This window comes from Homo sapiens, chromosome 4 (genome assembly GCF_000001405.40).
Source record: "Homo sapiens chromosome 4, GRCh38.p14 Primary Assembly".
Lineage (NCBI taxonomy): Eukaryota > Metazoa > Chordata > Mammalia > Primates > Hominidae > Homo > Homo sapiens.
This window is the reverse complement of record NC_000004.12, coordinates 88240795-88253530: the sequence shown is the minus strand read 5'-3', so window position 1 is coordinate 88253530 and position 12736 is coordinate 88240795. Positions and strand designations below refer to the sequence as shown.

The 12736-nt window shown below is 44.6% G+C and overlaps 1 annotated feature.

Moving 5' to 3' along the window:
• Nucleotides 8868–9400: an enhancer, noted in NCBI's record as "H3K27ac-H3K4me1 hESC enhancer chr4:89165283-89165815 (GRCh37/hg19 assembly coordinates)". NCBI's record gives its function as "activates a minimal SCP1, AML or CMV promoter by ChIP-STARR-seq in naive H9 embryonic stem cells {active_cell/tissue: H9 hESC(naive)}" and the evidence as "EXISTENCE:reporter gene assay evidence [ECO:0000049][PMID:30033119]".

Sequence of the window (12736 nt, the reverse complement as noted above, 5' to 3'; positions counted from 1 at the left end):
TCTCATGGTGTGTACTGTCCTTGTGAAAGGCAATACTGCGTTATGACTGCACCTGTCACCTGTATGCTGGTGACTTGCCACTTTATTCCCAGCCAAGATTTCTCTCCTAAGCTCCCAACTAAAATATCCAGACAGGGACTGAAAATGGCCATTGAGGGCCTCTAGACACCTCAACATATCCAAAATGGAATTCCCACCCAAGCTTATTCCTTCTAATTTGCCTCTCGTGGTGAATGGCAATGCCTCCCACTCAGACTCCCAAAGCAAAACCCAGGAACCAACCTTTGCTGCTTCATGTCTATAATTTGTCTCCTCTGCTCCATCCTCACTACAACACGGGAGTTTTCCAACTGGTTTCCCTTGCCTTTGGGGTCACCCTTTGTCCATTCTTCACACACTAATCAAAGCATGCTTATGTTTACATTCTTCCAATTGCAACTTCTAGGTAAAATTAAAGCTCTTTAGCATTGCATGAAAGACACTTTCTTCGTAATCTATTCCCTGCCACTGCTCCAGCGTCATTTCTTCCACTTACAAGTTTCCTTCTTGATATGGTTTGGCTGTATCCCCACCCAAATCTCATCTTGAATTGTAGCTCCCATAATTCCCACGTGTTGTGGTAGGGACCTGTTGGGAGATAATTGAATCATGGGGGCAGTTTCCCCCATACTGTTCTCATGGTAGTGAATAAGTCTCACAAGATCTGATAGTTTTATAAGGGGAAACCCCTTTCTCTTGGCTCTCATTCTCTCTTGCCTGCTGCCATGTAAAGACATGCCTTTCGCCTTCTGCGATGATTGTGAGGCCTCCTTGGCAACTTGGAACTGTGAGCTCATTCAACCTCTTTTTCTTTATAAATTACCCACTCTCAGGTATGTCTTTTTTTTTTTTTTTTTTTTTTTTTTTTTTGAGACGGAGTCTCATTCTGTCGCCAGGCTGGAGTGCAGTGGCACGATCTCAGCTCACTGCAACCTCTGCCTCCCGGGCTCAAGCAATTCTCCTGCCTCAGCCTCCCGAGTAGCTGGGATTACAGGCACAGGTCATTCCTGGCTAATTTTTGCATTTTTAGTAGAGACGGGGTTTCACCATGTTGGCCAGGATGGTCTCGATCTCTTGACCTCATGATCTGCCCACCTTGGCCTCCTGGAGTGCTGGAATTACAGGCATGAGCCACCACACCTGGCCTCAGGTATGTCTTTATCAACAGCATGAGAATGGACAAATACACTTCTTAAGCTTGATCCCATTCATTGCACTTGTTTCTCTCTCCCTTTAACTCATCTCCCTGCTTCTTTCCTTGGCAAACTTCAAAATTCAGATGTCATTTCCTCCAAAATGTTTGTTCTAAGACTCCCAGTCTAAGTTCCCCTTTTGTGTATGCCTACATCCAATGCTTACTTCTATTCGAACACTCACTACCCTGAATTATGACGCTTTGTTTCCTTCCCTTGCTTCTCCTTTAGACTGTGAATTCCTTAAGGGCAGGGACTAGGTCTTCTTTCTTTTTTTTTTTTTCTGAGATGGAGTCTTGCTCTGTCACCCAGAGCTGGAGTGCAATGGTCCAATCTCAGCTCACTGCAACCTCTGCCTCCCGGGTTCAAGCAATTCTCCAGCCTCAGCCTCCTGAGTAGCTGGGATTACAGGTGCACACCACCACGCCCAGCTAATTTTTGTATTTTTGGTAGAGACGGGGCTTCACCATGTCAGCCGGGCTGGTCTCAAACTCCTGACCTTGTGATCTGCCTGCCTCAGCCTCCCAAAGTGCTGGGATTACAGGCATGATCCACTGCGCCCAGCCTAGGTCTTCTTTCTATATAATCCTAACAATTACCACAGGGTCTGACACATAGTAGGCATTCAATGGATCTGAGTGATAAACTTAGAATAGAGAAGAGTTATGTAATTCCTGAGCCTTTTTTGAAACTTGAGAAGGCAGCCTTCCAAAAAAATGAATCACGGAAAAAGTTAAAATCACTGTGTTGCTAAGAAGAATGAGGTCCTCAGATTTCTCCAATTAGAACTAAATGGAGTAGGTGGGCCCAGCATTGTTTGAAGCTCTCGTTCAATCAGTTCTAGAAAGTTTTGCAGCACAGCTGACAAAATATGACATTGATGCTTGAAGTAAGAAATGATGATAACGTAAGAAGATACAAATCTAAGAGTCTTCTTAGGTCCTGCCAAGAAGATCTTCACACTGTGATATTTCCCTGACACCATGCCTGCTCTTAAGGATCAAAGAAATGTGAGCAGCCTGTCTAACCCAAAGCCCAAACCCAAGCTCATTAGAGAGAATCCCTGTCCCAACATCCACATTTTAAAAGTCAGATAATATTAATGTTGGGTTTTCTAATCTAGCCCCTTGTTTTCAAAATTACACAGTTTATTAGATGCTAAACCAGTGAACATCTTCCAAATTAACCCCTAAAAGTCACTGAGTAAGTTCTTGGAGAATGGGAGCCAGGTGTCCAGGTGTGTTTTATTCTGTCATATACACAGGGTACCGATCACAGTTCTGCACATAGGCACGCAATTTATGAATGAAGAAGTGAACGAATACGCTCTACCATTCTCTTTGGTGTAGGTGAAAGAGCACACTGCCATTTTTCCAAAGATGAAAACCTTTAGAATTTCTTTGGGGAAAAAAAAATTACTTAAAAATTAAAGTCTAGCCTGGGTGTGGTGGCTCATGCCTATAATCCCAGCACTCCGGGAGGCTGAGGCAGATGGATCATTTGAGGCCAGGAGTTAGAGACTAGTTTGGCCAATATAGTGAAACCCAGTCTTTACTAAAAATACAAGGCTGGGCACGGCGGCTCACGCCTGTAATCCCAGCACTTTGGGAGGCTGAGGTGGGTGGATCACGAGGTCAACAGATTGAGACAATCCTGGCTAACACGGTGAAACCCCGTCTCTACTAAAAATACAAAAATTAGCCAGGCATGGTGGCATGCACCTGTAGTCCCAGCTACTTGGGAGGCTGAGGCAGGAGAATCACTTGAACCTGGGAGGCAGAGGTTGCAGTGAGCCGAGATTGCTCCACTACACTCCAGCCTGGGCGACAGAGCGAGACTCCATCTCAAAAAAAATAGCTGGGCATGGTGGCACATGCCTATAATCTTAGTTACTTGGGAGGCTGAGGCATAAGAATCACTTGAACCTGAGAGTGGAGGTTGCCGTGAGCCGAGACTATGCCACTGCACTTCAGCCTGGGCGATGACACAGCAGGACTCTGTCTCAAAAATAAACAAACAAACAAATAAGTGATTATTTTTAAAAAATTAAAGTATATTAGAACAAAGGCAAATAGATTTATGTTAAATTGCTGAATCAGTTGTCACTATTTGAAAGGATGATGGAAACTTATCTTTTGGAATGTTTACATGTTTGCATAAGAGGTGGTGAAAAAAATGCTTTAGAGCATGAAATCAGGCCAGGCACAGTGGCTTATACCTGTAATCCCAGTGCTTTGGGAGGCCAAGGTGGGAGGATCATTTGAGCCCACTAGATTGGGGGTGCAGTGAGCTATGATGGAGCCACTGATTCCAGCCTGGGCAACAAAGCAAGACCCTGTCTCTAAGAACCCAACAACAACAACAACAAAACAACAACAACAACAACAAAGAGTGATGTTGCCTCAATCTCATCTCCCTCCACTGGCCCCTAGAATAACTGAGCAATTTATTTAATCCATGCTGTCACTTGGTTTTGTCATTTTAAAATGAGGATGATTATAATACCATGTAGGGTTGTTGTGAGACATTTGAGATTCATTCAAGTTAATAAACAACCCACACAGTAACATATCCCTCTTTCTGTCATTGCTTCCTGTCTCTCTAGGTTTTGCTTTTTTAGCAAATGTTTCTATGCTTTTCCCTCTTCTCTTATATGCTTTTTTCCTCTTAGTATCTTTCTACTGCTTTCCTTTTTTAAACTATCTCTTTCCCTGACTGATCGAATTTCTTCTAATATTCTTTTGCCTCTTTCTCACTCAAAAATACTGACAGTGATGAAATTTAGAAAACTGATAGAGGACGAAACAGTAATAACTATCAAAACCGTATTTCTGGCCAGGTGAGGTGGCTCACACCTGTAATCCCAGCACTTTGGGAGGCCGAGGCGGGCCGATCACTTGAGGTCAGGAGTTGGAGACCAGCCTGGCCAACACTGTGAAACCCATCTCTACTAAAAATACAAAAATTAGCTGAGCATGGTGGTGCATGCTTGCTAAGCTACTCAGCTACTCAGGTGGCTGAGGCAGGAGAATCGCTTGAACCAGGAGGCAGAGTTTGCAGTGAGCATAGATCACGCCACTGCACTCCAGCCTCGGGCACAGAATAAGACCCCATCTTGAAAACAAAAAAACAACAAAAGAAAACACTATTTCTAAGCCAGGTGTGCTGGCATGTGCCTGCTGTCCCAGCCACTCAGAGGCTTTTTCAGGAGGATCCCTTGAGTCCAGGAGTTGGAGGCCAACCTGGGCAACACAGTAAGACCCTGTCTTTAAAAAAAAAACAAAAAAAACACCCTGGCCGGGCACGGTGGCACATGTCTGTAATCCCAGCGCTTTGGGAGGCCGAGGCAGGTGGATCACCTGAGTTCAGGAGTTTGAGACCAGCCTGACCAACATGGAGAAACCGTGTCTCTACTAAAAATACAAAATTAGCAGGGTGTGGTGGCACATACCTGTAATCCCAGCTACTTGGGAGGCTGAGGCAGGAGAATCGCTTGAACTCGGGGGCAGAGGTTGCAGTGAGCTGAGATTGTACCATTGCACTCCAGCCTGGGCAACAACAGTGAAACTCCGTCTCAAAAAAAAAAAAAAAAAGCACCCTATTTTCTTTCTCTCAAGTTAATTTCTGATAGCTGCCAGTTCATGCATATTTTTTCTTACATTTCAAAATCAGTGAATGTGTTCATATTAAGTTATGATTTTCTTTTTTTTTTTTTTTTTGAGATGGAGTCTTGCTCTGTCTCCCGGGCTGGAGTGTAGTGGCGCGATGTCTCGGCTCACTGCAAGCTCCGCCTCCCGGGTTCACGCCATTCTCCTGCCTCAGCCTCCCAAGTAGCTGGGACTACAGGCGCCCGCCACCACGCCGGCTAATTTTTTATATATTTAGTAGAGACGGGGTTTCACCGTGTTAGCCATGATGGTCTCGATCTCCTGACTTTGTGATCCGCCCACCTCGGCCTCCCAAAGTGCTGGGATTACAGGTGTGAGCCACCGCGCCCAGCCTAAGTTCTGATTTTCTTCACCTAAGATAACCTTATATGTATGCTATGTGTCAAATACTTGTTAATATTTATGATTATGATATTGTATGCCAGTTTATGTCATATTGTCTAATAGTGGGGCACAATGATTGTTCATAATTTTTACTATTTAAAAATCTCTCCTGGGCCAGGCTCGGTGGCTCAAGCCTGTAATCCCAGCACTTTGGGAGGCCGAGACGGGCAGATCACGAGGTCAAGAGATCGAGAGCATCCCAGCCAAAATGGTGAAACTCCGTCTTTACTAAAAATACAAAAATTAGCTGGGCATGGTGGCACGTGCCTGTAGTGCCAGCTACTTGGGAGGCTGATGCAGGAGAATCGTTTGAACCCAGGAGGCGGAGGTTGCAGTGAGCCAAGATCGCGCCACTGCACGCCAGCCTGGTGACAGAGCAAGACTTCGTCTCAAAAAAAAAAAAAACAACAAAAAACCTCTCCTTACTTTATGCCATTTTCTTTGGTCTCCTCTGCCACAAAAGGTATATACAAACATACAAGTGCTTCATTATGTAAATACATAAAGTTTGCTGTATTTGTTGTGTAGATCTTCAGCCTTTTGAAAACGAACCAACCAACCAGGCAGCGCTGTGCTCTTGGAAGTCTTTCTTCTCTGTCAAGCTGATCTAGGTACCAATCATTAACTTTCTTATACCTAGATTCTCAGACCCCAAACATTTATGAACAGCCATACGCATATGCCAGGTAATAACAGAGGTGGGGTTGGTCTGTCTAGTAAAAATATTAGCTTTGATTCGAGCTTCCCTAGATGTTTGTACCACCTTTCAGTACACAAATCTGGAGTTAACAAGGAAAACTTGTCAGTTGCCAATGTTCTGTTCCGGTGCTTCGCTTTTAAAATTCAGAAAAGAATCACTGAAATAGATTTAGTATTTCAAAGTTCAAAGTTCTGTGTGACTTGGGGTAATGTTTATAGGCTCATTTATATTCTCACTTGGTTTACAATGCTGATTACAAAGCCTTGATTAAATACTTACTATGTGGACAGAATCTCACTATTGGACTATAGAAGCATAAGATCTGGCCAGTAACTCTGAGAAATTTATAATATAATTGGCAAAACAAGAAGTCAAATCTACAAGTGCTGAGGAGCTTGTAAATAATAATTATGAATCTTGATAATAAATAAAGAGATAGGTGGGAGGATCGCTTGAGCCCAGGAGTTTGAGACCAGCCTGAGCAACACTGGGAGACTGCCTCTACGAGAGAGAGAGAGAGAGAAGTAGATGAGAGGCTGGGTGTGGTGGCTCACAGCAGTAATCCCAGTGCTTTGGGAGGTTGAGGCAGGAGGATTGCTTGAGGCCAGGTGTTCAAGAACAACCTGGGAAATTCCATCTCTACAAAAATTTTTGTAAAAAATTAGCTGGTTATGGTGACATGTGCCCATAGTCCTAGCTACCCAGGGGGCTGAGGTGGAAGGATTGCTTGAGCTCAGGAGTTCAAGGCTGCAGTGAACTATGATTGCACCACTACACTATAGCCTGGTGAACAGAGCAAGACCCGGTCTCAAACAAAAACAAAACAAAAAGCAATCCCTGGGGATTTCACAGAGACTCCTAGGAATGGTTGGTTTATTCCCAGTGTTTTGAAAAAATAGATGTTCCAGGGTAAAATAGTTTGCATTGCAAGTCGTGTGCCTAAATCAATGTGAGCTCTGTCTGATTTTGCTTTAAGCCAGAGGTCTTCAAACTTTGTTCCACAGAACCCAGGAACTTCTCAAACATTTTATTCTAACTTTTTGTTTGTATGATTGGTGATTATATTTGATTCATAGTCTTTGATTTTTAAAAACATGCAAAACACATGAATATATTCTTGTGAAGATTTGTAAGTTAGCACATGTTATCGAGCACTGACTGGTATACTGGGCACAATTCTAAGAACTAAGGATACACTGATGAACAAAGGAAGTAAAAATCCATGCCCTCATAGAGCTTACATTCCAGTGAAAGGAGAAAAACAAACATAGTAAGTAACAAATTATATAATGTGTTAGAAGGTGAGTAATGCTATAAACAAGCATAAGATGAGGCAGACTGGGAACGCTAGTAGGGGGAATTATAATTAAGTCAGGGTAGGCCTCACAGAGAAGTTACCACTTGAAAAACTTGAAGGAAGTGAATTAATGAGCAACATAGGTAAACAGAGGCAGAGCATTCTTCGCAAAGGGAGCTGCCTTTTCAAAAGCCCTAAGGTGCATCAATGCATGTATATTTGAGGTTTAGCAAGGAGATTACAATTAGTAAAAAGAAAAATGAGATCTGAGAAGTATGGGTAGGGAATCAGTAAAAGGGAAAATAAAATCAATCAGTAAAAGGGAAAATGAGATCAGAGAAGTAGGGGGTAGAGAATACAGATTGTGCAGATCTTTTGATTCTTTTTTTTTTTTTTTTTTTGGAGAACGGTCTGTCAGGCTTGAGTATGGTGGCGTGAACATGGCTTACTGCAGCCTCAACTCCTGGCTCGAGCAATCCTCCTGCCTCAGCCTCCTGAGTAGCTGGGAATACAGGCGACATCCAGCTAATTTTTGTATTTTTGGTAGAGACTGGGTTTTGCCATGTTGTCTCAGGATCCTTAGGGTGTGGCTTCACCAGCCAGAAGCGTCTGTGGCTGGTGGCACTTATGCTTGAGTTTTGCTTATGCTCACTGGGATCGCCCACTTGGCCTGGCAGGCTGATCTTGGCTGGTGCTACCAGCCTGGATCCCATGCATGCCAAGAGCAAGCCAGGCATGAAGTGGCAGGGGTGTGGGTTGTGTCAGCGAGCGAGCGTGGAGTCTGGCCACTGTGCATAGCCAGGCAGGCTGGCTGCTGTGGCAGGGCAGGAAGCTCCAGGCATCAACACAAGCACTGGCTCTGTGCGAGGATGCGGCTAGACCAGATGTATTGCAATGGGCTTCCACTGCAGGCACCAGTGTCTGGACGAGGGGAACAGGTGGCGCCCAAAAGCTCAGAGATGCCAGGAACCGCAGAGTCCCAAAAAGAGTATTACAGCATGTCGAGCTCTGACTCAGGGAGCCCTGAGGTCTGGGCTCCCAGAAGGAGAGCCCTCTCTTCTTTCCTCCTCGTCCCAGTAAGGTGAGGTGGGGTGACGGGGGTTGGGGGCGGGGGAAGGTGGGGAGGGTGTTTCAGCCCGTTTGTGTTGCGGCTCTTTCAGTCCCACTGCCCTGCTTCAGCTCGGGGCTCCTGGGCTGGCCCCACCCCACCACTGCTTCCTGTCACATGGGACAGCTGCCTGGTGCCCATGGAGGGCAGAAGGGCTATAGTGTTACAGCCCCTTTAGCTCCTGCCACAGCTCGGGAGCCAGCTAGGAAAGTGTTACAGCTCCTTTTGCTCCTGCCATTCAGCGGGTCCTGGGTTCTTGTCCTGCTTCCAGGAAAAATGGAGTTATGCAGACAGCTAGAGGGTGAGCAAGGCAGAGGAGCTTTATTGAGCAGCGGTACAGCTCTCAGGAGAGAGGAGACCAGAAGTGGGTAGCTCCTATTCAGAGGCAGGTCGTCCTGAGTGTCTTGAGTCTGGCTGACTCCAGGGATTTTACAGGCTCAGAATGGAGGAAATGCTCAAAATGGAGGAAGTGTGTGCTGATTGGTCCATGGGCATGCCTGGAAAAAGCACCACTTGATTTGCCAAAAGGTATCAAGGAAGTTCTCACTGTGGGTGGGAGACTTTGTCCAGAACTGATAGCCCAGCCCCCAGGCTCCAGGGGACCCGCCCCTTCCCACGGAAGGAACCTGCCTGTCGCCCACCACCAACAACATGCTATCCATGGCACCCAGGCTGTCTGCGCAAGGGGCATCCTTAGGCCCGCCCCAAGCCACCCTCAGCCCCCCAGGCCTCCCTCCCGTACTCGTTGGCACCCAAAGTTTCAGCCTCAGAACCAGTTTCTGGAGGGGGCTGAGGTGGCGGTGGCAGGGCGGTGGTGTGTCAGTGCTGCCCCAAGTGTGTGCACACCTGGCCGGGTCACAACAGCACCTGGGCTCAGTTAACAGGATACGTCCGCAGCTTTGCTCTGCCATGGGGGCGGGTGCTGAGAGCGGGAAGAGGACAGGGAGTGAGAGCCTGCAGGGCTTCCCAGGGCCCTGAGAGTACAGGCATGCCTGGGTCCAGAGCCATGGCTGGGCGGCTGCAGCTGCACCCGGGAGCATGGGCTCCCACCCAACCACCCAACCAACTCCGTAGGGCATGGGGCTTTTGCTGGGATCAGCTGTTCCCGGCCCCGCCGGTTCCGTGGTGCATGCAGCCCTGGCTATGCCTCCCTCCCTGCAGCTGGTATCCTCACAGTGGCTACTCCAGGCAGGCCACCGCCACCATCAGTGTTGCCCAGGCTGGTCTTGAACTCCTGAGCTCAAGTGATCTGCCCACCTTGGCCTCCCAAAGTGCTGGGATTAGTGGCATGAGCCACTGTACCCAGCCCTCTTTGATTTTGACCCTAAGAAAGACAGGGAAATACATGAATATCTATTGGGAAATCTTTTTTGTTATTTATTTGTTATTATTTTTACCTTGCAGCTCCAGCTCAAAGGATGGGAAGTCTTTAAATAATAGAGATGTATATTTGCATCCTGCCTCCCAATGCCATACTTCCCAGAGATTGTTGCCATTTGGGGGCATGTCTTTCAGAGTTTCTTCTAGGTGATTTTGTAAATAAATGAATACTAGATACATACAGAAATATATATTTTTGTTCTGTGAGGTGTGTGTATGTGTGTCTGTCTGTGTGTGTCTTTTAATATCAATGAATTTATATGCCCTGTGTTAATTAGCAGCTTGCTGTTTTCAATTAATATGTATTGGAGGTCTTTGTCAATATAGCACATGTATTTCTATCTCAAACTGTTGCATAACATTCTATTGTATGCATTTGCTGCATTTTATTTACTCGTACCCTTGGAGATAAGCATTTAGGTTCTAGTTTTTCCTTCTTTCCTTTCTTTTCTACCTTTCTATATTGAATTACAATGGTCTTAATAGTATATTTAATAACATAAAATAACGTGTTACATCTGTTGAGGAGGAAACACATTATCCTCTACCTTCTCAGATTCTCTGGTTGGGACTAAGAATTAAACAGACATAAGATGGATAAACAGGAGAAAAGTAGACAAGCTTTATTAAATTTTTACATGTACATGGGCTTTCACATGACGCTCTAAAGAAGTGACTAGAGCAGAAATCTTTCTAAACATTTTTGACAAAGAAATTATACATTTATGAAGAAATAACAAGATAAAGGGGTTTGGACTGGAGGTAATAAATTGTGGGGAAATGACTGGGAGATATATGAATGGGGGTAAAACTAGTAAGATATAAGGATTATTTATTAAGTTTGTTTATGCAGATCCATTTCAATGTCGATTCCCAGTCTCTGGTGATAAGGATTTCTTGTCTTTCTGGTATAAGGAGGGCACCTTCCTCATGGGAAGTTTTATGGCCTATTCTTAAATAGAAAAGGGGAGGTCAGAGAGCCCTTCCTGCGTCAGCTCTTTCTCAAGTGCCTTCAGCTCAAAATAGTTAACATGCCAAAGCAGCATATTTTGGGGCAGCATGACCTTAACTCCTTCACATGAAACATGGGAGGAAATTTGAAAATTAAAGCTTGTGTTATCTTCTGTCAGAAAAAAAAGTATGTGTTTTCTAAATTGGAATCATTTAGATTTGCCCCAAAGGAAAAAAAGTCTTTGGTTACTTCTTAACGAAGGATTTATCTAACATTTATTATTCTGGAATAGATGGAAATCATGAGAGCTGGAGCCCAGTTTCTCTCAGCTTTGCTGAGTTCACTTGGTCATCTTGGCCAAGTTGGCATGAAGTCTACATCAGTAGAAAGTGAGGATCTAATATCACAACTTGCCTCATCCCACACTGCGCTCCCTTCTCCAATTACCTACAGCCTGAACCAATATGGCATTCAGCCAACACTTTTCAGGTCATGTGTGTTAGTCTTGTCAACTCAACCTTGACACCAACCCTGGAGGGCAGAAATCACCCCTTTTTCTCCTGAACAGTGCCTAGCTGATCCTTAGAAACATAGTTATTTACTTTCAATATGTGTTAATTATCTTTAAAACTGTATTTGCAGGTTAGCTTTATTTTGTTTAGAAAAAATCTTAGAATAAAAGTCTTACCACCTCTATAGCTGTATCAGAACTTCTTTTAAGTGTATCACTAGGCCGGGTGCAGTGGCTCACGCCTGTAATCCCAGCACTTTGGGAGACCAAGGCAGGTGGATCACCTGAGGTCAGGAATTCGAGACTAGCCTGGTAAACATGGTGAAACCCCGTCTCGACTAAAAATATAAAAATTAGCTAGGTGTGGTGGTGCATGTCTGTAATCCCAGCTATTTTGGAGGCTAAGGCAGGAGAATCGCTTGAACCCAGGAAGTGGAGGTTGCAGTGACCCAAGATCATGCCACTGCATTCTAGCCTGGGCAACAGAGCTAGACTCTCTCTCAAAAAATGAATAAATAAATAAATAAATAAACAAATAAATAATAAAAGAAGTTTAGATATATCCACAGAAATGGCAGAAATTTCATACCAAGGTTTGTCTAAACTTGGTTTCTACCTGGAATAAAGAATAATCTGCCAGGTATAGTGGGGCATGCCTGTAATCCCAGCTACTAGGGAAGCTGAGGTGGGAGGATTGCTTGAGGCTAGGAGTTTGAGACCAGCCTGAGCAACATAGCAAAACCCCATTTCTGGGGGGAAAAAGAATAATCTCACACATATTTCAAATGTATGTAGATTTATGTTGTGTGATTAAAATATGTTTATTTTAAAGAGTTATCTATGTTGTTATTGGCATTTTGTACTTTCTCTTCCGGGATACTTAAAGTGCAAATACTACCATGAGGAAAGAGGGAGTCTTACCAAATGAAAAAATGATCCTCATATTTACAAAACCCTGGCCAGGTGCATTGGCTCATGCCTGTAATATCAGCACTTTGGGAAGCTGAGGTGGAAAGATTGCTTTAGCCCAGGAGTTTGGGACCAGCCTGGCCAACATGAGACCCCATCTGTATAAAAAATGTCAAACATTTAAAAAACTAGCCAGGCATGGTGGTGCAAACCTGTGGTCCCTGCTACTTGGGAGGCTGAGGTGTGCTTGAGCTCCGGAGGTTGAAGCTGCAGTGAGCTGTGATAATGCCACAGCACTTTAGCATGGACAACAGAGTGAAACCCCATTTTTTAAAAAACAAAAAAAAAAATCAGAGAGAGAGGGCAGAGCAATATGGGTGAATAGAAGGCTCCACTGATTGTCCCCAGAGAGGAACACCAAATTTAATAACTATCTATACATAAAAAGCATCTTTCTTCAGGCAAGGCAGTCATGAAAGAAATAATATAAAATAAAGCACCTTCCTAAGAATGAAAAATCAGGTGAGCACTCACAGTGCCTGGTTTTAACTTCATATTGCTGACAGAGGCACTGAAGAGGGCAAGAAAGACAGTC